This window comes from Homo sapiens, chromosome 5 (assembly GCF_000001405.40).
Source record: "Homo sapiens chromosome 5, GRCh38.p14 Primary Assembly".
In the NCBI taxonomy this organism is placed as follows: Eukaryota; Metazoa; Chordata; class Mammalia; order Primates; family Hominidae; genus Homo; species Homo sapiens.
This window is the reverse complement of record NC_000005.10, coordinates 87,398,554-87,425,391: the sequence shown is the minus strand read 5'-3', so window position 1 is coordinate 87,425,391 and position 26,838 is coordinate 87,398,554. Positions and strand designations below refer to the sequence as shown.

The window sequence follows — 26,838 nt, the reverse complement described above, 5'->3', positions numbered from 1 at the left end:
GTTTGCAACCTTGCTTTCAGGATAGAATCACACATGGAGACTTTAAACATGTGCCAATGTCCAGACTCTGCCCTGCAGACTGCTGCTCAATTAGCCTGAGGTAGGGCCCTCAGCACAAGGGTTTGTAAAAATTGCCCAGGAGTTACCCATGTGCAGCCAAGATTAGCAAATCACTGCTGTAGAAGACAGACTGGAATAGAATAAGACTGCACTCTGCTACAGTGCAAGATAATAAGGAACTAAACTAAGAGAACCAGAGAAAACTGCACACAGGAAGAAGAAATTTGGTTGGTTGGATTTATCATGAGTTATTACAAAACGATGAGGGTAATAAAATTGGTGTCTCCAGGATCTAGCCACATGGCTCCACCATGTGGATAAACTGTGATGTGCCAAGTTGGCTCATTGCTTTTTTTCCTTCTGATCCTGGTTGCTGTTGTCATGACAATATTAGTTTAGAAATAAATTTTAAAAAACAAAAGTAATGTGCTGATTAGCAGAAAAATATGTATTCAAACCTGAAAATGTTTAGAATTCCAATACTTTATTCAAACCTGATATAGTACTTACATGTGAAATTCCTTTATAATGTTTCCTTGGGTACAACATTTATTTTTAAAAATGTACTTATTTGTATTTATTAAGTCCCAAATGTATTAAATAGTGAAATTATCATATTTATTTTGAGGTAAAGGATATAAAGAATATTGCTTTAAGAACTCAAAAGTTGGCCAGGCGCGGTGGCTCATGCCTGTAATCCCAGCACTTTTGGGAGGCCAAGGCAGATGGATTGATCACCTGAGGTCAGGAGTTTAAGACCAGCCTGGCCAACATGGTGAAACCCCATCTCTAATAAAAAAAAGACAAAAATTAGCCAGGCGTGGTTGTGGGTGCCTGTAATCCCAGCTACTCAGGAGCCTGAGGCAGGAGAATTGCTTGAACCAGAGAGGTTGCAGTGAGCCCAGATTGCGCCACTGCCCTCCAGCCTGGGCAACAGAGTGAGACTCCATCTCAAAAAAAGAAAAAAAAGGAACTCAAAAGTTCATAAAATGCCAAACATTTATAACTGCTTTTTATATCTATCTATAAGATTCCTTGAAAGCAGCTTCATATTCATACTACTTTTATTATTGGAATATACTAAAATAGTTCAGGTAGAAATTTTAAGTTGATTAGAAGAGCAAAGTAAATTGGCTAATTTTTATGACAGCAGAAGTTTCTCATCTTATTTAATAACTCACATAATTCTCTTCAAAAGCTGGAATGTGTGATTCTTAATGGCAAAATAAAACATTTTCATAGTCTGTAAACTTTCATACATGATTGGCTATTGCAATTTATCAATACCTCTTCAAGCAAATTCTGAAAATGAAATTATTAAACTAGTGAAATTAACATTGCATTTCTAATTATCCAGCCTCCAGGCAATTTGCACAATAAGCAGTTTTTCAGTTCGTAATTAAGGTGTACTTTTCATCTCAAGGCTTGAGACAAGTTTAAATTTCAATTCTATAGCCTGATTTAATGTATTAATCCAAAGATTTGTATTTTACTTCAATACTGTCTTTCATTCAGGAAGAAGAATAATTCTTATCACTGAAATTTATCAATAATATTAAAGAGAAAAATGAATCACTTCTAAAAATGTATCAATGACTAAGAATATCACTTCATGTACTGTGATGATGTACTGTTGATTTAACTATATCCTCTCTAGGTGTGGAACAGTAATTAATTTAATAACTATCTTGAGAATACCTTCTATATGTAAGGTACTATGCAAGCATAATAGGTAATAGATGTCTCAAAACAGAATATCTAAACTTTAAATCTTTTGAAGGAGTTAAGATAGTCACACATTAAAAAGTCAGGCCAGGCACGGTGGCTCAAGCCTGTAATCCCAGCACTGCGGGAGGCCGAGGCAGGTGGATCACCTGAGGTCAGGAGTTCGAGACCAGCCTGGCCAACATGGTGAAACGCTGTCTCTAATAAAAATACAAAAATTAGCCAGGTGTGGTGGCAGGCACCTGAAATCCTAGCGACTTGGGAGGCTGAGTCAGGAGAATCACTTGAACCCTGGAAGTGGAGGTTGCAGTGAGCCAAGATTGCACCATCGCACTCCAGCCTGGGGGACAAGAGTGAGATTTTGTCTCAAAAAAAAAAAAAAAGTGCAACAACTAGGGAACACAGAATACATTTAAAGCCTAAAAATGTGAAACAAAGTAAGTACAATGAGGAAGAAGAGTTCACAATAAGATGAAATAGTTTGGAGAATAAACAGAAGTAACAGGATTTAAGTTCGATGAACCTAAAGAGAACCTGCATAGGCAGAAGTTTAAGGCATTATAGTTAGGGACTATGAGAAGAGCAAAAATTGACAAATAGGATGTACAGTTTTCAGTCTAGCAGCACTGACCTCACCCAGGAGCATGATAGTGATGGAGAATTTTGGCTATGACCTACTGAATCTGAATCAACAGTTTAACAAGATCCCCAGTTGATATGTACATATATTAAAATGTTAAAAGCACTCTCTTAGAACATTGGTGAGCAAAATTTTTTGTTATAAAGGGTCAGATAGTAAATATTTTGGGTTTTGCAGGCCAAATGGTCTCTGTTTCAGCTCCTCAGCTCTGCTGTTGTAGCTTGAAAACAGCCAAAGATGACAATATGGAAATGAACAAGTGTGGCTTTGTTTCAATAAAACTCACTAAAGTGATGGTTAATTTCATATGTTCACTTGACTGCAACACATGGTGCAAGGTATTTGGTTGGAAATTGTTCTGGGTGTGTCAGTAAGGATATTTATAGATGAGATTAACATTTGAATCAGTAGACTAAGTGAAGCCGATTGCCCTCCACAATGTGAGTGGGCCTCCATCAATCCATTGGAGGCCTGAATACCACAAAAGATGAAGTAAGGGAGAATTCACTGTCTGTCAGACTGTTTTCTTCTCCTGCACTTCAGCTGAAACCTCTACCATTGGTTCTCCTGGTCCTTAGCCTTGCACTGGAACTATAACACTAACTCTCCTGGGTCTCCACCTTGTAGAATGCAGATCCAAATCATGAGACTTCTCAGCCTTCATAATTATGTGAGCCAATTCCTTATAGTAAATATATACGTAGGGGCACTGATAGTCTATGGCATGAACTGGTAGCAAAGATACACAAAATACCTGCACTGAACACTCCTAATCAACCATTTACAAGAAGCAACAAGTTGGGTGGCTGTGTATATGGTAATTCCAAGCTTTTTTGGAAAACTAATCAATACAATAAGATTGACTGGTTGTTCCACTGTTGCTGGACAAAGTGGTGAAGGAAAAGAATGAGCTCGGGGATTCAAATTCACAGCTTGAGCACCACATAAATGACCTGAGTTTCTATCTGTGTCCTAAAGGAGACCCTTATCTCCTATAGCCAAAGGGCTAGGTTGAAAATTGAATGCAGAATACCATCCCGAGACTAAATTACAATTTAATTTCTTATAAATTCCCAGCCTTGTCGAATGTCTGCTGTTAAAGTGTGGGCACTGATTGGGAAAGAATAAGATTTAGGATGAGGATGTGTGGGAAGACCTTGACAAAGCTGAGGATATTTTGTCTCTAAATTCTGATGTCTCTTTACCAGTGGAAGAGGCCTCTCCACTCCCAGAAGGCATGCCTCCCCATCCCCTGTGGAAACAGCCTCCCCATGCCCCAGTGTTAGTGGCCTCCCCACTACCAGTGGCATCAGCCTTTTTAATCCAGTCTGAGATTAACCCTGCATTGCCTGAGGAAAGTTTAATGGCCTCCCATGAGACAGTTGCCATGCAAGACAATGCTGACTGTCCTAAGACCCACCTCTCTTTGTTTCTAGACCTATAGCTAGACTCAAGTCCCAGCAGGCCCTTAAAAGTGAGGTAAAAAGTGTGACTCATGAGAGGGTTCACTACATGTCAACAGAACTGCTTGAGCTTTCTAATTTGTACAGACAGAAGTCCAGGAAACATGTGTGGGAATGAACATTAAGAGTGTGAAATAAAGGAAGATAAAGTTAGATCAGGCTGAATTTATTGATATGGGCTCACTAAGCATAGCCTGCATTTAGTGTTACGGCTCAGAGAGTTGGAAAGGGCACCATGAATTTGTTCAGTTGGTTGGCTGAAACACGTTCTAAAAAGTAGCCCACAGTAAGTGAACTGAAAATGTCAGACTTGCCTTGGTATAATGCAGAGGAAGAAATTCAAACGCTTAGGGAGATTGTGAAATGTTAGAGTGGATTTGTCATGCAAGACCTATCCACCCACACTGGAAGGATCCATAAAACAAACTTTCACCAGTATTGAGAGAAATAAATGTGTGAGGGGGGCCCTGGCATCCTTGAAGAGTTCTTTGATGCCTCTTCTCTGTAAGCAAGACCATCTTAAGTATGGATTTGCATGCAATGCTTCTACCAAAACTGTGATCCTGGACTTACAGAATGCCTTATCCATGGGCACAGGATTCCACAGATTCCACACAGCATTGCTTCTGATTAAGGGACTCACTTCACAGCAAAAGAAGTATGGTAATGGGTCCATGCTCATGGAATGTATAGGCCTTATCATGTTGCCCACTATCCTGAAACAATTTGATAGAACAGTAGAATGGCCTTTGGAGAACCTAGTTACAGCACGAGCTAGATGGTAATATTTTGCAGTGCTGAGACAAGCTTCTCCAGAAGGCTGCACATTCTCTGAATCAACATCTAATATATAGATAGAGCTGTTTCTTCCATAGCAAGGACTCATGGGTCCAGGAATAAGGGGCAGAAACGGGAATGAATTTATTCACTATTACTCCTTGTGACCCCCTAATAAAATGTTTGCTTCCTGTTCCCATTACCTTATGCTCTACTGGCCTAAAAGTCTTAGTTCCTGAGGGAGAAATGCTTCCACTAGGAGATACAACAATGAAAACTGTGCTCACTTCAGCAGCACATATACTGAAATTGGAACGATACAGAGAAGATTAGCATGGCCCCTGTGCAAGGATGACATGCAAATTCATGAAGTGTTCCATTGAAAAATAAATTAATAAAAACTGCTGCCCAGCCACTTTGAATTCCTCATGCCTCTGAATCAACAGGCAAAGAAGAGAGTTGTGGTGACTGATCAGAACTAGCAAGGGGAAATTGGACTGCTACTGCACAATGGAAGTAAGGTTGAGTATGTCTGAAATGCAGTAGAACCTGTAGGATGCTCCTCTGTACTACATGTCCAGTAATTAAAGTCAATGTAAAATTACAACAACCCAATCCAGGCAAAACTCTTAATGCCCCAGATCCTTCAGGAATGAAGGCTTGGGTCACTTGACCAGGTAGAGAACCAGCTCAGGGTCTTGCTAAAGGCAAACAAATAAAAAAAAAAAAACAGGATAGTTAGTGAAAGAAGGTAGTTATAAATATCAACTACAACCATGTAATCAGTTACATAAATGAGGACTGTTAGGAGTATTTCCCCCTTATTTTGTTAAGAAATGTTTGTGTGTGTATAGTAAATACCTTTTTCTCCCTCTCTTATTCCTTTATTATGTATTATATAATGTATTGATTTATTAACATAATATTTAAGTATTGTTCAATTTACATCATAGTATTTTTTAAGTTACAGGATGTCAAGGAGAAGAGTAAACATCAAGAACTTTACCTCCTTTTCTGGGGATTGGGTAATGCATATTCAGTTGTATGTGGGATAGTTGTATTATGTAAAGTGGAGTTATGACCTTGTTATTGTGTTTATTTGGAGATTAAATATGATTTAAAGAGATGTGAATGAATGCCAAGCTGAGAAGGGATGTATTTTGTTGACTAGGACAATGGGGTGCCCAGACATTTGGCTGAACATTGTTTTGGGTGTGTCTGTGAAGGGTTTATAGATGAAATTAACATTTGAATCAGTAGGGCGAGTGAAGCAGTTTGATCTCCCCAATGTTGGTGGGCCTTATCCAATGTATTGGAAGTCTAAATGAAGCAAAAGATAGTATAAGGAAGAATTTTCTCTTGGTACCTGACTTTTTTTGTGATGGTGCATTGATCTTCTCCTGTACTTGGACTGGAACTTACACAGTCAGCTCTCCTGGGTCTCCAGCTTGCAGTCAGCAGATCATGGAACTTCTCAGCCTCCATAATTGTGTGAGCAAGTTCCAATATCCAAAATATTATGTATTATATATACATATGTATATGTACATGCACACACACACACAGACACACAAATCGTATTGGCCTATTGGTTCTGTTTCTCTGGAGAACTCTAATAAAATTATAGACATCAAAATTTGAATTTTATATAATTTTCATGAGGCATGAAATATTACTTTTGATTTTTTTCAACCACTTAAAAACGTAAAGGCCATGCTTGGCTTGTGGACCGTACAAAAATAGGCATTGACTGAATTTGGTCTGTGAGCCCAATTCACATTTTACTGACGCCTGTCAATAGAGAAACCAAAAAAAAAAAAAGTATCCTTTCAATTTTCTTTATCATCTGAATTCTAGACTTTAAAACAACAGAAGAATAACTAAAGTGGTTGATAATTTTTATTACTCTACAACAAAAGTATATTTCAATCCAACTGTGAGAGAATACATTTTTTCTTCACCTTTTATTTATCCAGTGAGAATATTATTAGTCATTTTTTTTCAAATGGATATTAAATTTCACCATGGTCATGTTGTCTGGATAAGGCCAACAAATGACTAAGCATCCTCCATTTTTTTCTCTTAGGTAACAAAGAATAAAAGTATGGTTTTGTTCAACCTAATAGAAAAGGTGAAGATTCTTAACAATAAGGACACCATCATTCTCCCCATTACCCAGGCTATAAAAATAAACTGGAGTAGTGGTTCTCAAACTGTGGTGGTCCACGTTCCAAGTATTATGTGGAAATTAGTTAGAAACGCAAATGCTTGGGCCCGCCCAGGACTGGCTGAATGAGAAATTCAGCAATCTGTGTTTCAACAAGCTTTCCATATGAGTACGATGAACCCTAAAGCTTAAAAATCACCAAACTCAAGGTAATACTTAAGGATCCAGATTCTTGGGGCTTCATTCCAGACCTACTGAATTGGAATCACTGATTTGTATTTTAACATGATCCAGATGATTGATATGTTGATTCATATTTGAAAGTCACTTCTTTTTAGAGTTGCCATTCCTCTTTCATCCCACCACCTTATCCATCCTATTTGCCAAGTCCTGTACATTTTACATTTGCAAAAACTTTCAAACATGATTTTTATAAGCCAAAATTCCTAGGCCCTACTTCATAATTTCACACAAAAATATATTATATGGATTGGTTACATCTCATAGAGCATATGTGGTGTGATATACATGATATACTACCTATCTCTCTATCTGGAGACATAGTGAGGAATTCCTCTTTATAATCCTGAATCTCATGTAGCTAGTTCAACAACACAGGCATTTGGGTATCACTTATAGACTTAATCCCCTGTTCTATTTCAATTATTTTAATGATGGCTTTATAAAGTCCTCACTATCAAAAGAGTCACAAATAATTTCCAGATTAAAGTAATGCAACTCTGATCATTTCATTCGCCAATTGAAAAATTTTGACATTCAAAGCCCTCTTATTCTCCAATCAATCAAGCTATTCTACTTCCTAGTCTTTAGACACACCCTGCACATTGTGCCCTTTTGCCTTTACTCAAGCAAATCCTATCCACCAACAGTGCCCTCTCCATCAGCATCAATACAAATTCACAAAAATGTTGTATCTTCCAATTAGCCTATGCCATGTGTCAATGAAGTAATAATTAACAATTTAAAACATTTTATGGAAGCCAGCCAGTCTGCTATATCTTCACATGTATTAACTAATTTAATCCTCACAACCACCTTATGAGGTAGCTACAACTATTTTCTTCACTATGCAAGAGATGAAACTTAGGGCAAGATAGGTTGAAGTGACTTTCTCAAAAATGCTTTATTAATGACACTTTATTAATGAAGAATGGTGAGACAGACCTTTTCAAAGTCAGCTATGGAGACAGGTTTCGGGACCACTGCAGTAAGGTCTTGCAGTGGGGGAGTGAGATTGGACTCAATTCTAACTCCAATAAGGACAAGTGGGAATTTATAACCAAGAAGCAGGTTGGGGAGCAATGGATGGAAAATTACTAAGAGGAAACACCAAGGATAAAGGATTTCTGGCTAAACTGACCTGATAGGATTATTGCTGAAGGCAGGTCAGGGTGATAAGATATTGAGGGTGGTCTGATACCAAGGGTGGGGGATATTCATTAATGTGACGTGTCAGGATTCTTGTTCCAACTGGATTCTACAGATGGTCTCCAACTTACAATGATTTGATTTTATGATGGTGCGAAAGCCGTATGTATTCAATGGAAACACTTCCAGTTTTGAATTTTGATCTTTTCCCGGGCGAGTGATTTACAATACAAACCCGCTCCTGATGCTGGGCAGTGGCAGTGAGCCGCAGCTCTCAGTCAACCATGCGGTCACAAGGACCATGTTTAAGGTAGGCTAGGCCAAGCCATGATGTTCAATAGGTTAGCTATATTAAGTGCACTTTCCACTTGGAATATTTTCAACTTATGATGGGTTTTTTGTTTTTTTTTTTTGCATCGTAACTTCATCCTAAGTCGAGAAGCATCTGTACTAGAATAGAGAGGAAAGCCCAAGATCAGGCTTAGTCAAGCAGAGGACTCAGAGAAAAGCCTGATTAAAGTTTTGGTCAAAGGAGAGAGTGTGTGTCAGCCCTATCCAAGGTTACTGTCATTGAGAGGGGATTGTATTCGTACATGCCATAATTCTACTATAGTCCAAGGATCCTGGGACAAGAACTATGAGATAGTCATTTTTGTGACCCCATCACCGTATCACTACCACCTAACAATTAGTACTAGGCCTTGTGTATAGTGATTTACTAATTTTTGCTGAATTGAAGATGGCTTTATAGGATTTTCTCTTTAGTATGTTGTCATGTCTTCTTTATGCCTTAATTTGAAATAGTCTTAAAGCAAAATAAAAAACATTTCAATTTTGAGGGGGTCACATATAGATCAACGATATTTTTTAAATGCTATTTCTTCTTCTTATTTCTTTTCCTTTAGTAGTATTCTATTTTCTAGAAACCAGGTACTTGCTTCAGGCGACTCCTTTTCTTCTCTTAGTTGTAACTTGACATCTGAGAATAAAACTAAGAAAGGATTTTGCAGCCAATGCTGCAAATACAAATTTGTTAATTGTGTATTAACCAAATACAATTGCAAAGGGTTATTAAATACTCATTGTAAAGCTGTATTTTAAATGTCACGAATCCATGTCAGTAGCTGAAGGCATACAGTTTTATGTTAGATTTTAAAGTAAGAAAGATATTGTGTGTTTTTGTGAGCATAGATGTGGTTTGGTCTCTTCTATCCCTTTTGTGTGTGTGTGTGTGTGTGTGAGTGGCCCTGCAATCAGAAATGGTGTGAACGTGAGTATGCTGATGTGTTTGGGAAATGAGGACTACAAATTAATCTGGCCACTTTATAAGATGTTTTATATTAGACTGCAAAATTATTTCAGTTGCAAACATATTTACTGGTCACTCCCACAACCTTTTAATTCCCCTTTTCTTCCTTTTCTCCTAAGATCAGGCAATATGACCTTTTTACTTTTATTTTTCCCTAAACATTAAGATCACTAGGTAGACCGCAAAGAAGGAAGACTGTCCTGAAGCAAGAGAAAGGAAATCCTAATACTCTTATGGGAAATTTTGGAATAGCACGTGGATAAGTACAGGACATTTCTGTGGTGGCCAAACAGATGACACCTGCTTGGCATCACCTAATCTCTGATTGGTAACCCTTAGTTTACAGGTAATGCCTGCAAGTCAAAATATTTGGAATTTGTCTACAAGTACATACCATAGCACAATTTAACAACTGCAGCACAATAAAAGAGATTGTATTTACTTTTAAAAGTCATTGAAATATTTCTTAACATTTCACTTCTGAGTAGTGTCTAATGAAATAGTGATATCTTTGTCAACAAGCTGTGAATTTCCCTATGTCTTCTAGGAAGAATAGGTTCTGTCTGGTTAGTTGGTTTGTTCTTGTTTGAAATATCTTCATTTAGTAGCAGGGACATTGTGATTTAAAACTAATGGAGTTGGGAGGCCCAGGCAGGCGGATCACTTGAGGCCACAAGTTCTAGACCAGCCTGGCCAACATGGTGAAACCCCATCTCTACTAAAAATACAAAAATTAGCTGGGCATGGTGGCATGAGCCTGTAGTCCCAGCTACTCAGGAGGCTGAGGCTGGAGAATGGCTTTAACCCAGGAGGCGGAGGTTGCAGTGAGCGAAGATTGTGCCACTGCACTCCAGTCTGGGTGACAGAGCAAGACTTTGTCTCAAAAAAGAAGAAGAAGAAGAAGAAAAAAACCTAATGGAGGTGTGGGTGGAGGGTAGAAGGGAACTGGCCATGTATTGATAATTTTTGAAATATGTTTCTCTGTATTCTTTATATTTGAAATTCTCCATAAATAAATAAGTAAAAATAATAGAAGTGAAGAGAAACACTTGCTACTTTTTAGTTGAAACTAGAAATGGAAATAGGTAAAGGCACAAGTTCTGCATTCCAGTGTGCCTCCTGTGGTAGCAATAGCAAAGAAACACTGTCGCACAACAGGCTGAGTAGGAGACTGTCACAGCATCCAGTCTGCTTACCTTAGTAAGAAAAACCATACATGAGCCTTAATGTTAGGGCATCAGCAACAATTGTATTCCTCAGACAGTTAATTTAGACAGAGCCCAATTCCTACTACATCTGAAAAATAAGATCAATGTCAATTTTCATGGACTAAAATTTGTTCAAGGTTTAAAAAAAATTACACCAGCAATGCCAGGTTTTTCATATATTTTTCCTAAATGACATTCAGAAATTTTACTCATATCTCTGTGGAAATCACAGTCTGCCAACTCTTTTAAATGCCTATTTTTATTATCCTTTACATAAAACTAAGGAGTTGTCAAATATCTTTCAGAAAAACAAAATGAAAAGAATTTATATGATATATATAACAGTCATGAGGCTAAGACTTTATATAGACATTTAATTATCTAGATCACTTATTTTCCTATCTTTTGTACCATTATGTTTTTCTCTTTTAAATTATTCTTTCCCCAACATGCAACATTTTAGGTTGTTCACAATTCATTGTAATCAATTTGCCATGCCCTTTGATCTTCTCTTTTTCTCTCTTTTCTTAGCCAATTTATGAGACCAGGTTAGCCACATATGTTGAGTGTGTGGCTCTCCAAAATTATATACCACAAATGGCATAAGTTTGAGGAATTCAGATAACTGTGGCAAACTCTAACCTCAGCTGTACCCAACAAAAATGAAAAAGAAAAGGCTTTCCCTTTCTTAAGCCCCTAAAAACATTTTAATAGAAAGCAGAGTTAAAGTCATCCTGCCACTTCTTCTTTTTACCTGTGTGGGCTTTTCAAGACCTAAATTCTCTAGGTCTCATCATCTTTCTCTTTCTTTTTATTTATTTATTTATTTTTTAGAAAAGCTATTTGCCATAGGGAAATCCATTTTTCGGATTGGATATATAATAAATACATGAGAGAATAAGGTATGCCTAAATGGGACAAACCAGAATCCATGTAAATTTTGAACCTCACCTGCAATTTTGAAAGTCCTATTAATTTAAAAAATAGTAAATACCTTAATTTTCATGATAGCTTACTGTAAGGCTCCCTAGAGGCAATGAAAATGGGAATCTCAATAAAACGAATACTACCATACATCCTGGCTTCAGAGATGAAAACAGAGGGAGAGGATTGGCTAGTTATCAACAGAAGGGTAAGGAAAAAAAGCACAGAGAAAGAACAGACAAGGCAACAAAAGTGGCAGAACTGTAAGGGCCAATACGCATCCACTGCTTCAAGTTTTTCAGCCATGTTCCATTCTCCGAGATTTCTGGTAGTGCTTCAAGAATACTGGTCTCCAAACTCTTCCTGAAAAGGGCTAGGAATGCTTCTGCCTGAAGATCTTACCTATTCTTTCTGGGCCCCGTGATCTCCCTACATGATTGATCAACCTACTATTTCAACTCTTTCAAGCCTTTTCACAAATGTCAACTTCAGTGAGGCCTCTATTTAAAAATGAGCACCCTACGAAATCCTTTCCTCATTTCTGATTATCCCCTGTGAATTTACATCTGCCTACTCCGTACCCTCAGTTTATGCCCCTTGAACACTCTTGCCGGGCGCTTCTCCTTTAAATCTTGCCTGGAAGGGGCGGAGCTATGTCCCAGACTCACCGAGAGGAGCGTTCTCTAGGCTCCGCCCACTTACGTCTCAGTGGGCGCCCTAACGAACCCGGGATACGGTCTGTTCCTAGTCCGCTCCGGAAATGCAACTGCGTACGGGCTGGCCGCGTAATCGTGACGACAGCGCGCCAGCGCCGGCTAGCCGGACGCCCTAGGCTTCCGCGAGATCTTCGGTGGGGGTACGGGTGTTTTACGCCAGGACGCTGATGCGTTTGGGTTCTCGTCTGCAGACCCTCTGGACCTGGTCACGATTCCATAATGTACCACAACAGTAGTCAGAAGCGGCACTGGACCTTCTCCAGCGAGGAGCAGCTGGCAAGACTGCGGGCTGACGCCAACCGCAAATTCAGATGCAAAGCCGTGGCCAACGGGAAGGTGAGGTTTTCCCAACGGTTGCCCAGTTGCCCGGTCACTAAATTCTGAGCAGCTGCGGGAGCTCTTCTGGCTCCCAGGACAATCTCGCTCCGTCGTTTCTCTGCCTCTGCGGCGCGGAGTGCGTTTTTCTATCAAAATAAGCGAGCACCTTGCCAGGTTCCGTGGGTACAAAGACGAACAACGCCATCCCCGTCGTCGAATGGCAGACAAGTAACCAGTCTTTGTAACGTAGTGAAGAAGAGAGTAAGTAGTGTGCTAAGGTAGTGCGTGGCAAGAGCCGTTCACTTGTCAAGAGATGATGTTGGGGAAGGTTTTTCCCAGTAGCCAATGCGGAGAAAATGGGAAAGGAAGTTCCAGGCAGTCAGAACCACCGTTCAGAGTGGGAGGGAGGTCAGAAGTTACAGAGATGGTGCGTGGACGTGTTTGTGGTCGTATGTGGCCGAAGTTGAGTACCTGTGCAGGAATGGCTGGGGAGGGTAGGAAGGGAACTTGTAAGTGGAAGTGAGGCGTTTAACATTTCCACTGAAAGGATGAGGAACCTTTGAAATATTTAAAATGGGAAGCTAACCTTATCAGATTTCCGTTCTGGAAACAGCGCTCTAGCAACCTCGTGGTGAATGGGTTGGATGAGGGAGGGAGACCAGAGACCAAGTACAAACCAAGTGACTGAAGATGGTTTGGACTATGGCCCGCTAGCCAAGTTCCTTCTGTTACAGCTCTCGGACTGGTTTAATCTTTCCTGCAAGCTCCACTCCAGCAAGTGTTCAGTGCCTCCAAATTACCGATACTGAGTTACTTTACTTTCTACCTTTAATTCACATCTATTTCATATCACTGATTTTAGCACCTGAATTAGTTTCCTAAGGGCTGCCTTAAAAAAATCACCACAAACTGGGTAGCTTAAAATAACAGAAATTTATTGAAACATTTGCTGTTTTTTTACAACTTGTGACGTAATGACTGACCGAGAAACGGATGTTGGAAGCTTTCCAATCATATTTTAAAAAGTCTGTCTACTTTTTAATTTATAAATAATGATATCACAACTGTGAGCATGTGCACACAGCCTGTCATGATTGTTTATACTTTAATGAAGCAAAGGTCTAGCTGACATTCCGAAAAGTCGTGAAATGATGGTACAGTTTTAGTTTATTAAATATTTTCCTACAGCTATTTTGTGTAATGATTAGCGAATCTATAAAGAAAATGAGGCGTGATATATACCCTTCGTTGGATATATAAACTAAATTTAATCTAGATAGAGAAAAATGTTTTACAATTGTTTAATTCATTGAATTCATTGAACTTGTGTTGTAATTGTTGATCTAAAGGTTCTTCCGAATGATCCAGTCTTTCTTGAGCCTCATGAAGAAATGACACTCTGCAAATACTATGAGAAAAGGTTATTGGAATTCTGTTCGGTGTTTAAGCCAGCAATGCCAAGATCTGTTGTGGTAAGTTACAGTGGTGATGAAATATAATGTCCTTTAGTTGGCTTGTGAAATTTGACCTCTTCTAAATTCCCTGTCCACTCAAGTCTTAAAAATTCACCTTAGTTACAATTAATTAGTTTTTGGCACATTATATATTTTTCAATACAGGCCTTAAATCATGAGTTGCTGTATCATATCTTCAAAAGTATTTCAAGTCTCACTTTGTGGTCAGAAAAAAATTTGAGGTCAGGTAATGTCATAAAGAAAGAAAAAAAATAAATTACTTTCCTCTAAGTTCTCAACTAATGAGCCATAGGACTGGGACTAGAACATAGACTACTGCTTTTCCAACTCTGTGACACCCAATAAATGTTTGAAATAATGCATTCATTCATCATTGGTAATCATATGCCCCAGCTGAAACTGATACCATAAGATTTTTTTAAGCCTTGATTAGTAGAAGCTGGAGTTTTATCTTTGGTGAAAAAGATTGCCTTATTGTTTCAGATGTATGGTTCTGAGGACCTATTTGTTTTTTGCTGGGGTGGGCAACCGTGAGGAGAAACAGGTAGCTGAGATTAAAAAGCAGAAAGATAAAAAAGGTAGAGTGGGAGGGTGTTCAAAATGTTGTTACGTTATTCTCTCACTGGTTTGTTGTGAAGACCAAATATAAAAGTATATCTTAAGTAAAAGTCTGTTAAGTTTTAAAGTTATACAGCGTGACTAGCTTACGACCCAGTAGAGAATAATTTTCTAGGAAATTATCTCCATTTTTATAGTTGAAAAAAAAATTGAAGTATGTTGAAAATATTAAGTCCATAGAATTTACAATTTTTTTTCATCTGAGATGTCAAAGATTCAGAGAGAGTTTTAGGTATACTTGATTAGTTTATATCTTCAGATTTGGCTTGTTCTTACAAAAGAACTGTAAAATGAGGCAGTAAATTTAAGTGATCTTATCAAATGAAGAAAAAATCCTTTAATGAACTTCTTTATGGAATTTATTTTTAAATAACATGTTTATCATTGGTGAATAATTTTTTGTTTTACATAATGACAAAACTAAACTTTTAAAATACTTAAAAGGAAATATTCTTTTTTCTATCATAAAATAGATAAGTGGTTATTTCATTGGTTCCAGCCAAATGATATAATGGTTAAAAGTACAGGCAGGTCTTACTTGAATTCATTCCTGTTCCTTATTAGCTGTGTGACCTAGATAAGTCAGTTAACCTCATTGATACTCAGTTTCCTTCTCTGTAGAGATAGTAATACTTCACCAAGCTGTTGTAAGGATTAAAACATGATGATAGTTTCGTGTTTAGCACAGAGTCTGGCACATGGTATACATTCAATAAATGGTAGTGCTGCTTCTGCCATTCAGTTGGCAGCAGTGATCACAAATCATGGAATGGATACATGGTTATATCACAAATATGGAGTGGCTTTAGAGAGAAGGCTTATTGCCTTGCCCATGTTTTTTTGTCAGTATTTTTATAAGATTGGTTAATCTGTGAACGTTTGTATTTTTCTTCCTGAATTTATCTAATTCAGAACATTTTTGATAGTCTGATTTCTAATACACACACACACACACACACACACACACACACACGTATTTTTAAATCCAGTGACCATAGGAAGGATTAGCCAGAGTAGGCTGGGGATAGACAAGCAAAGGATGGGAAAGAATCTTTTGGCTATGGCATTTCTGTAGTAATTCATCACAATTTGTTTTGATTAAAGAAGAATTAATGAGTATTAGTATTTTTCTGGGTAATCTCTACAAAGAAACCTTTCCATAAATAAGTTCTGTTTCACAAAATTTAACATTTAACATTTGTGACTAGATCCTGATGATATATTTTTTTTAACCCTTAGGGTACGGCTTGTATGTATTTCAAACGTTTTTATCTTAATAACTCAGTAATGGAATATCACCCCAGGATAATAATGTGAGTATGTCTGTCTAATATATTGTTTTCATTTAAGAAGACCTTTATAATCTTTTGAGTATTTTTTGGGAGGAGAGAATTGTGAGAGAGAGAGAGAGAGAACTGACTTCCTAATACAGGGTAATTTAGACTTGAATTCTATTTTTTTTTTTTTATTCAGAACTTGAGATCTCTGTTTACCTGTACTTCAGTAATTCTGATGGTATGTGAACTTCAGCTTGTCCAGATTCAAATTTTGTTTTTCTCAAATTAGCTACTTCTCTAACATCTCTTCCTATTAGACACCTTTGTTCTTCCAGTTGTTCAGACTGAGAATCATTTATAGTGGCCCCTCCCACATCCAGTCAGTTTACGGATCCTATAGCTTCATACTCATTTCAGTTGAACAAAGGTCTGTTGTTGCTGCTCTCTGCTGAGCGCTGTGTCTATCATTAAAAATGAAATTAGTATGAAACTCATCAAAGAGTTTGCTCTCAATGACATTGTACCTGTTTTCTCTTTTTTGATTCCCATTTCCACCAGTCAAGATTAGGCCCTTGATCTCACTGCCAACTGTTTTTTACAGTAGCTTTCTTACTGTTTTCTCATACTGAACAGCATGAAGTGGCCAGGTGAATTTCACAAGTTTGTCCCTTAAATAATAGTCCCTTATTCAGATGCCCTTAGAGACTTCTGCCGATGGCCTTCCACAATGTTCCTTTAACCTACTTTTCTTCCCATACTTACATGGTACATATGTGGGTACTGCTTTATTTTTAACTCTTCCATCTACATTATACAAAGTACTCTTATTCCTCAGTTAATTTGTTTTTCCAGATATTTAGGTTGTACTGCATAACACTGTCATTGAGTCAGTGATGTTTGAATGCCATGGCAATATTGGTTTGACCTAATTTTATAGTTGTCTTACGTCTCCTAATGAAGTGTGAACAGGAAGTGTCTTTTAAAAAACAATTCTTGCAATGTCTAGCAGTCGCTTTTGAATATTAGGCAATTATAGAATATACTTTTAGAAATAAATTATTTAGATACTTCTCAAAGTATATGCATGTTCTTCCACCCCACCCACCCCCTGCCTCCTGCCTCCTTATTTTTTCCTCTAGGCTCACTTGTGCATTTTTGGCCTGCAAAGTAGATGAATTCAATGTATCTAGTCCTCAGTTTGTTGGAAACCTCCGGGAGAGTCCTCTTGGACAGGAGAAGGCACTTGAACAGATACTGGAATATGAACTACTTCTTATACAGCAACTTAATTTCCACCTTATTGTCCACAATCCTTACAGACCATTTGAGGGCTTCCTCATCGACTTAAAGGTAAACTTGATGTAAAATAAACTAATACTACATTCTCCTTTCCTATTCTTTAACAAAAGAATCCAAAATTTTAAAACTCATAATCATCCTCGTTGTTATAGCATGGATACAACCTGTGGGTCTGGCCTGGTCATCTAGGGCAGTTGTTTTCAAACTTCAGTGGGCATCATCAGTCATCTGGAGAAATTGTTAACTGAGATTGTTGGGTGGGACTTACAGAGTTTCTGATTTAAGTGATCTGCAATCTCATTTAAGTGATCTTCATTACATCCAGGGATGTAATGAAGACCATTGAGAGTTTAGAACGGTGCTTACTATAAAGGCTTAAGATAACTCTTCTAACTTTGAATTATATTGTCATGGATCTGGGCCTGATTTAAACCATAAAAAATTCTTAAACTAGAAGATTGCTAAGTGACTTATATTTTTAGAGGTTTGTGAACTTAAGTCACTATGTAGGCATCAATAATATACGTAAACAAACATTGACAAAAGCAACTTTTTTAAGTTGTTTTGTTTGGCTCTAAAAGAGAAGTTGGATAGTCTGAGTCGAATCAAATCAGGAATTGGTTCATTCATGTTAGATCAGTGGCTCAATTTGGGTACCTTCTATGTGCCAAACTTTGTGCTTGAGGATGTAACCAGAAATAGGACAGGAACAGTCTCAACTTTTGTGAACCTTACAATCTAAAGGTTTTAGACAATCATATATCCAGTGTGCTCAATGATACAGAGGGGAAAATATATTTTAGAGGGAGATAACAGATTAAGGGGTAAGGAAAACATTCTGAGAACGTATCATTTAAAATAAAATTCAGAGTAGGAATAGGAGAGAGAAGAACATTCCAATCAGAGACTTCCCTGGTAAAAAGCTCAAATTCAAGAAACCATTCCGTGCTGAAGAGCCTGAACAGAGCCTAGCAATGCAGGGGGAAGAGATCACAGACAGCTGCTGCCAGAGTGGAAGGCAGAGTCTAGACTGTGGAGACAATGTTACAGATTTTGAATACAGCAAAGAGAAGCTAGTGAAAGGTTTAAATTTAGAGAGTGGCATGATTAGATTTGCAGCTTTAAAAGATCATGTTGGCAACCTTATGGATCAGGTATTTATCGCGCATCTGTATGTGTCAGGCATAACGTGGAGAATGGATTAGAATAGATTAAGTCAATAACAGGGTACCGTTAAAGGAGTCCAAGCAAAAGATAGTGCTGGGCTTCACTCGTATGAAGGTTGTGGATACAGAAAGAGCTTCCTGGGCTTCAGAGATACAGGATGAGTATCCCTTATCTAAAAAATTTGGGACTAAAAGTACTTGGGATTACACTTTTTTTTTTTTTGATTTTGCAATATTTGCATTGTGCTTACTGGTTGAGCATCCCAAATCCAAAATCTGAAATGCTCCAATGAGAATTTCCTGAGTGTCATGTCAGTGCTCAGAAACTTTCAGATTTTGGAGCATTTCGGATTTTGAATTTTTTGGATTTGTGATGCTTAGCCTGTAGTTAGGTAGAATCAATAGAACATGAGGATTGATTGCATATAGAGATGAAGACAGAGGAAGAACCCCCAGGTTTCTGACTGGGTGAGAGTTTTTTTGTTGTTGTGTTTTGTTTTATGGAAGAGACTGATGCACATTTAAATACTGAGGCAAAGAGCTAGTAGTGAGAGCAAGATGAAATACAAAATAGTCTCTTTGGAGTAAGATGGAAGGGGGTTGGCATGGGATTTGGAAGCAAGGTATAAGAACTGGCCTTAGAGGGAATAATAGCTCTTTCTCTTAACAGTGGAAAAGGGGAAATCATGGGTTAGGATACTGTTATGCCTCAGGATTTGGTGTTGACAGGAAATAGCGCCTTTCTTTGGTAAGAGATAGTTTTCTGAGAGTGATGGAGTTTCTGAGAATTATCAAAGACATTAAGACAGATGGAAAATATTTATGCAGTCACTGAAAAATAGGAGAGTCAATTGTCTGTGGAAATACTATGGTTGCTTGGCAGTGTTTAAGAGCCTTGCTGAGGTCAATGAACATGAGTTTATAGTAACATTACCAGACTTCTGCTTGTATGGTTTTCTCTGGCAGCCCTCAGAAATCTTGGTATAGTTGCAAAGCGAAAGTTTGTTGGATTCAACCACTGTTCAGTTTCTGGTTTTGCCAGAAATTTGTTGGCAGCATATTGGGGCAGGGAATTCAGGAGAGAAATGAGGACCAGAGGACACTGGTGAGTGGGAGCAAGTAGAGGGATAAGTGAGCAAAGGTTCAGAGGAGGGAGAACAGCTGTGAAGTAAATGAGTAAATATATTAGAAAGGGAGGCATTGTGGTCAGAGTAGTGGGTCTGAATTTGTCATATCACAGGTGAGGCATTTTTGCATAATTGACTCTGAATATTTTGTTTCAGAGTGTAGAAAAGCTTTCTTAGTGCTTTAGGTGTTGCATATGGATATCTGAGGACTTAGGATTTATAGTTTATTTTATAGGGTATGAAGAACTGTCAGGAAATAGGAGGTCTTCCACATCTCTTGGGCATACTCTAAAACTTTTTCTGTGGGAATTCGAAGTCTAGTGTGTTCTAATCAAATCGAGATTCATTTTTATTTACTTCTTCCTGAAAGCAAATTTTAAATAGAAGGAATTTCATATAAAAATAAGGTGTATTCCTACATGTGGCCTTACATTTGAATCACCTGGGTTGCCTGAGAGAAGCATTTACCTGGGAATATGTATTTCTTGGCCCTACTTTAGACTCAATGGAATCTCTAAGAGCTTCCCTTCCCTCCCCTTCCTACTCAGGTGGAAAAGGACCAAGAGAAGGGATTAATGTAAATTGAGGACAGTGTCAATTACTGTGCTAGGAACTTTAGATATGTTATAGCATATATTTCTTAATAGGAGTTGTGTAATTTTTAAACTGTTGTTATACTCCATTTAAACCCTCAGAAATGGTAACATTTGCAAACTTTCTTTGTAGACCCGCTATCCCATATTGGAGAATCCAGAGATTTTGAGGAAAACAGCTGATGACTTTCTTAATAGAATTGCATTGACGGATGCTTACCTTTTATACACACCTTCCCAAATTGCCCTGACTGCCATTTTATCTAGTGCCTCCAGGGCTGGAATTACTATGGAAAGGTATTAATTAGTTTTTTAACTTAGGTCAAATTCAGTCACTGGGTTTATTTATTCATAGAATCATTTCTGACTGTAATCTTTAATATTCTTTGTGGCTGGGATGGTTGGTGAGAAGAAGAAATGAAATTGCCTTTTGAGGAAATCTTTAAACATCATGAAAAATACTGTTAAACTAAGAGGATACATTTAGGATTAAAGTAGAAGTAAACCAGGTGATCCTTGAAAGACTGATATAGCTATCAGTATATGACAAATTTAGAAGTTCCTGTGAACTGGTGAGCAACTTGAGTGCAGCAAATGTCTGCCTTGTTTTATCTTTATTCCCCTTCTGTAGAGCATGTATGACACGCGGAAGTTAAATATTGTTAACTAACTGAAGCACAAGCTAGCAGCCAATTAGACATTTTTAGTTTCTATATTAAGTTTCTCAATTTATGACCTTTGAGGTTCTGCTTGATTTCATTCCTAGAAATAGCTGAGGAAGAAAGATGATAAAACTTCCTAAAGTTAATTAAAACTATTTTACATGATTATAATCCCTTATCCATAATTTCAGAATCCATTGATAAGGTGGCAGCAAATAGAGCAGATTGTATTTAGTTTTTATTTCACTTAATAGGAATATTTGTGTTCCCTTGCAGAAATCTTAATATTCCTGATTACAGACATCACTTGGGTATTTCACATTTCATAATATATACACCAGATAACTTTTCTAAGACATGAATACTTATTAATAAGAATTTCGCAACACATCTGCATCTAGGATAAGGGATTGTAGGTTTATATTTTATTTATGATATGCCTGTTCTCTGCAAACGCAGCTCACCAACTGTATATAAATGTATACGTTTAATCCCAAAGTGATTTATATCTCCACTTATTTACTAAGCAAACATTTATTAGATACCTTCTATGTACTACTATGCACTGTACTACACTTTAGGAGTATGAATAAGATAAATCTCTGTGTTAGGAAAGATAGTCATGTAAATTACTGATGTATATGGAGTTAAGATGTGGACTTCCATTAATTTTGTGGGGGTTGGGTGGTTATTTTTTTTGAGACAGCATCTCACTCTCACCCAGGCTGGAATGCAGTGGCACAGTCAAAGCTCATTGCAGCCTCAACCTCCCAGCCTCAAGCGATCCTCCTACTTCAGCTTGCTGAGTAGCTGGAACCACAGGCACACACCGCCACACCTTGGCTAATCTTTTTGTTTTTTTTGTAGAGTTGGGGTTTCCCTATGCTGCCTAGGCTCATCTCAGTCACTCCTAGACTCGAGTAGTCTCCTGCCTAGGCCTCCCAAAGTGCTGGGGTGACAGGTGCACACCACCATACCTGGCCTGCAGACTTCATTCTGTAAGGGAACAAAAGTCCTCTTTTCCACAATTCAAATAACCAAAAGTTTGATTAATCTTGAAGCATTGTATATAGTGCATCTATAAATTCTTCAGTGAAGGTCCAAATGAATTTATTTCATCTTAGAAGTTTAGTTCATTATAATTCCAGGAAGGCAAAATTGAAATTGCCATACCTTTGGCTCCTTGCAAATTTAATAGGCTTTCGTAACATTCCCAGAGACTAGACATTGGGCCTTTTTTTTTTTTTTTTCCTTTAGGGAAATGCTTTCCAAACGTTTTTAACTTACAGCTGATTTACAGGCAAATTTTTGGGATATGTGGAAATGAGCTTTACATTTATTGCTGATTTCAAAAGGGAAAGCCCCTGTGCTGTTGTCATAGTCTGGATAATGCCTCAGATTATTAATCATAGGATTATTACCGTTATTTCTGGATTTTCTTCTCTTTCTTGCAGATTTAGAGCTTTATTTTTCATCTGCTACTTTAGGTATTCTTATTGCCTGTGGATTTTATTAAAACACCACAATATTATAAGTTCAAATTCAAAATTGAGGTTAAGAGTTGCTAACTTCACAGAGATAATGAGTCTAGTCAGCCAACTCTTAGCACCAAACCTATGACCCTTATGCTTAAGAAATCAAAAGGAAATGAAGAGTAAAAATAAAGGAAGATGACAAAAATGGGAGGAATTTTAGGTAGGAGAGGGAAAGGAAAAAACTAGTTATTTTGAATTACTGGTAGCCAGAAATGGATTAGTTGTCAGGAGATTTCCTGATTTTCAGATCCAAAATTTATTCCCACAGTAGATGATGATGATGTAATATCAAACAGTTACCAAACTTTATAATAAAATTTAAATAAATCTGGATAAAGACAGCAACAAGAGTTCTTAAAGCATTGCTTTCTATTTTTCTAACTATTACCCCCAAGAGAAAAATAAGTTTTTTGCATTTGTGTTTGAAAAACTATTTAACATTTTGAGAATCTGTTCATTTCGCCTTTTATCAATCATAGGTCAAGTTCAGGTATGTAAAACTTCAGAGTAACTGAAATTTTAATATAGAAATTATATTTTCATACTGTCAGTGGCTCTGAGAAAAACAGGTAATTTGGGTTTTATATCACATTGATAAGTAAGTTTAACACCTTTGATTTGGACTTGATGCAAATAAGATGCAATAGATTTATAAAGCATTAGGTGGTAGTCTTGTTGGTTTGAATGTCTGTTACTCCACAGAAGTGCAACTATAGATAAAATGGCTTTCATATTAAGGGAATAGAGAATCCTTACTAGTGCCAGATTCCAGTTTTGCTGCTTCCTAGCTTTATTACTTTGGGCAAGTTACAAGATCATGACTTGTTCATCCCTGTAACTCAGATTCCTCATCTGTAAAATAAGGTTAGCCTTATTGGGCTTCTATATTAAAAGATATAAATGTTATAAGTACTGGCTATTACTGTTGCTTTCATACTATTTTCCCTCTGAAAGGTTGTACCTGAATGTCACTAAACTTAAAGGAACAATAAACATCTTTTAATGTAAGTGGTAATAAATCCTTAAAATATAGGAGTTACAGATTATACATTCATAAATTTAAAAATTTTTTAATTGCCTTTGATGAGGATGGAGGAAAATAATTTATGATGTCATGTTTTCTCAATGTGCTGTATGTTTTCAATAGATTTTTTTTTCTTTTCTTTACTAGTTATTTATCAGAGAGTCTGATGCTGAAAGAGAACAGAACTTGCCTGTCACAGTTACTAGATATAATGAAAAGTAAGTAAAAGAGAACACTTTACAAAATGTTTCTTCCAATACAAAGCTCCTTTCTAAATAAATCTCTTGGTGTTTAACTAGAAATATAACAGATTTTTGTTTAGATTTCTTTTCATTGAATTACTGTATTATGGAAGCATGAAAGACACATTGGTCTAGAACAAATAGAAGGTATATAGAAGGAAGTAGTGTTCATTTATATAGAACTTATGCAAAGAGTGAAAATAGAGTCAGATTTAGAAAGGATTTAGAGATTGACAACAGGATCCTTTTAAAGAATAAAGAAACATACTAGGCACTGAAAAAGATGTAATGGGAAATAACTTAAGGATAATGTTTAAATTTGGAACTTCTATTTTGTAGATAAATTATTTTTTTAAGAGAAAGGTAGAAGGAGATTTGACACACTCAGAGAAGGCACTGTTAAGACAGCAGAGAAAGAATTAAAGATGCTTGCCTTGAAAATTGGAGTGATGTGGCTGCAAGCCAAAGGAAGCTGGCAGCCATCGGAAGCTGGAACAGGCAAGGAATGGATTCATCCCTGGAGCCTCCAGAGAGAGTATGGCCCTTCTAGCACCTTAATTTTGGCACAGTGAAACATTTCAGACTTTTGGGCTCCAGAACTATGAGAGAATACACTTCCGTTGTTTTAAGCCACCACTTTTGTGATAATTTTAATAGCAATGTCAGGAAACTAATACAGCCCTGCGTAATCAAGACTTATCCAGCCCAAAAAGTCATTAGTGCTGGTGTTGAGAAACCCTGTCATTAGTGCCGGTGTTGAGAGTTGAGTAGAATCTCTACTTTACTTATTGGCTGGATTAGCCAGCATTCTCCATTCTTGACCGTGGCACACTTGGTCATGGCTGCTAAGCTACTCTTTGGGGTTAAAAGTCGATCATGTTTGTTTCCAAACCTTCTTGTGTAAATTGTTCTTGTTAATTAAATGTGTATTGTAATTAAATATTAAACCAGTAGAATATAAGATTGAAATCTTGATTTTCGATGACAGTAAATGGGCATACATTTTATATATTTTGTGTTTTAAAATTTAAGATGCTTCAGGGCATCTATGTATCATTTCCTGATTCTCTGCTCGAAGTGATCCTGAGGGCTTCCTTTGAGAATGATGGCTGTGATTTATGAATTATAAACTGTAGGTCTTTAGTTATACCACTAGGGGGTACACTTTAAAAGCTAATTGTGATTTGACTGTAGCTGTTAGGATCATAGAATTTAGTAGGTAAAGGTCTTATTCCACTGTACTCATTTCATAGCTTAGTTTTATTACTGATTTCTTCTCAATACCTTTATTTTGCTCCACTTGTTTTAAAATGAAATAAAAACAGCTCTTCATAAAACACTCAGAAGTTTAATGCTACTAAGATATTTGTAATTTTTGGAACATAGATACTGTCCTAAGGGTGTTGAGTTACAAGTATTAATTCAGTTAAAAATACTGCTTTGTTTGCATTATGAAATAGGTCAGTAGTGTAGTCATTTGGATCACATGGCTGGCTAATAGTAATAATAAGCCCATTGGATCTCTCATCATTCCCCTAATCTTGAAATTTGTATTCTTTGGTTTATTATAGTTGAATAACAAGATCAGCTAGAGGATGTTTTTGCAATTATAAAGTTACTGATACAGTAGTTTGCTTTTAACCTAAAGTGGACATTTTTGTATAGGGTTTGCGTTTTGTTAAAGCAAAGGATTATTAACAAATTTTTACTGAGCATCCTCCCTTTATTGCATGTTGTGTAATAACAGTTTCCTTTGAAAACAGGAAGTATATGCTTGGCCCACTGTCTATGGAATAGAATACTACGAAGATGGTTGGTGATAGAGAACAAAACATGTTCACTAAATCATTTAGGGATTTTTTTTTTAAGTCTTAAAACTGAACAAGAAGTGACCCCAGTAGGATTTGCCAAAAATTAATGCTAGATTATAGTGTGCTTTATGCTGTATATGATATGGGCTAAACAGCAGAGAGCCATAATTACTTGAACTAAACATACAGTGCTTATTGGATTTTAATGTAGAATGAAATGCAGAATGATGCAAATCCTGAGAATAACCATGTCATTTGAAGAGTGTTGTTTCCTATGACAAAATGGAAAAGTAACCAGCTCCCTTACTATGAGAAGGAGGTTTGCTTATTCAGTTTAAATTCTTTTTTTGTATCCACATAGGCATGAGAAACTTAGTAAAGAAGTATGAACCACCCAGATCTGAAGAAGTTGCTGTTCTGAAACAGAAGTTGGAGCGATGTCATTCTGCTGAGCTTGCACTTAACGTAATCACGTAAGTTAATGTGACAGTGTTAATCAATAGACATAACTGTTATCCAGTCCAGCTGGTTCGTAAATCATTTTATTGGTGTTTGCTCATTAGAGGAAAGCTGACTGATCCATAAAATCAGATTTTCTTTATTGAATGGACATTTCTAATGAGATTAAGGTAATAGTTCGGCATTCACTGTGCAGTTCTGATCCTGCTGTGACTCATATGTTCTTTGGCTTGCAGGCCCTGTCCTGTTCTGTTACTTCTCATGGGATTTCAGGGGTCAGGGTCTTCCTAAGGAATCCTTTTACCTTTTCCTGTCCTTTTAATCTTTTGTCTCTTTGAAGTTGTGATATCTGGTCTGAGGAACAAATATGCTCTTCCAGACTTCTGTTAGCTAGAGTAGAGAAAGTTGGCATACTTCTTTTTTTTTTTTTTCTTTGAGATGGAGTCTCGCTCTATTGCCCAGACTGGAGTGCAGTGGCGCGATCTCAGCTCACTGCAAGCTCTGCCTTCCAGGTTCAGGTCATTCTCCTGCCTCAGCCTCCTGAGTAGCTGGGACTACAGGCGCCCTCCACCACGCCCAGCTAATTTTTTGTATTTTTAGTAGAGACGGGGTTTCATCGTGTTAGCCAGGATGGTCTCAATCTCCTGACCTCATGATCCGCCCACCTTGGCCTCCCGGCATACTTCTTTCAGTGACAAACTTTATAGTGACCACAAAGCCAATAGGAAAAGAGGCCATGTAATTTCTTCTTGTGGCTAGCCATAAGAACACCTTTAATGTCTCTTAATTGATTTGTAAGCTGAATGTGAAAATCACCATAAAATTGGCAATTTGTGCTTTGCAAATTGAAAGAT

At 37.3% G+C, this 26,838-nt stretch overlaps 1 protein-coding gene, 1 long non-coding RNA gene and 1 pseudogene across 12 annotated transcripts in view, besides 2 other annotated features; 2 read left to right on the top strand and 1 right to left on the bottom strand.

Moving 5' to 3' along the window:
• LOC105379066 (uncharacterized) overlaps positions 1-12,410 on the bottom strand; it is a 70,191-nt gene extending 57,781 nt beyond the window's left edge. Inside the window, exon 1 of one of the 2 annotated variants that reach the window (XR_948543.1) lies at positions 12,331-12,410. This is a non-coding gene — a long non-coding RNA (uncharacterized LOC105379066). The remainder of the gene's footprint in view (positions 1-12,330) is intronic. The other variant, XR_948542.2, reaches the window with a different exon arrangement.
• RNU6-727P (RNA, U6 small nuclear 727, pseudogene) lies at positions 4,945-5,045 on the top strand (annotated as a pseudogene).
• The window catches only part of CCNH (cyclin H), a 101,460-nt gene continuing 87,083 nt past the window's right edge, over positions 12,462-26,838 (top strand). For 4 of the 10 annotated variants that reach the window (NR_157070.2, NM_001364075.2, NM_001363539.2 and 1 more), the window contains exons 1-7: positions 12,462-12,714; positions 14,046-14,168; positions 16,029-16,102; positions 17,206-17,416; positions 20,385-20,548; positions 23,620-23,690; positions 25,887-25,998. Coding sequence is in view for 6 of the 10 variants with exons in the window: in NM_001364075.2 (NP_001351004.1) it covers positions 12,598-12,714; positions 14,046-14,168; positions 16,029-16,102; positions 17,206-17,416; positions 20,385-20,548; positions 23,620-23,690; positions 25,887-25,998 (872 nt within the window). In the remaining 4 variants the exon portion in view is untranslated. Of the gene's footprint in view, positions 12,958-14,045; positions 14,169-16,028; positions 16,103-17,205; positions 17,417-20,384; positions 20,549-23,619; positions 23,691-25,886; positions 26,000-26,838 lie in introns of those variants that run through there. The other 6 variants (NR_157068.2, NM_001364076.2, NM_001199189.2 and 3 more) reach the window with 3 other exon arrangements.
• Positions 12,506-12,675: an enhancer, noted in NCBI's record as "active region_22754". NCBI's record gives its function as "activates an Ori minimal core promoter by ATAC-STARR-seq in GM12878 lymphoblastoid cells {active_cell/tissue: GM12878}" and the evidence as "EXISTENCE:reporter gene assay evidence [ECO:0000049][PMID:35858748]".
• Positions 12,706-12,835: an enhancer, noted in NCBI's record as "active region_22753". NCBI's record gives its function as "activates an Ori minimal core promoter by ATAC-STARR-seq in GM12878 lymphoblastoid cells {active_cell/tissue: GM12878}" and the evidence as "EXISTENCE:reporter gene assay evidence [ECO:0000049][PMID:35858748]".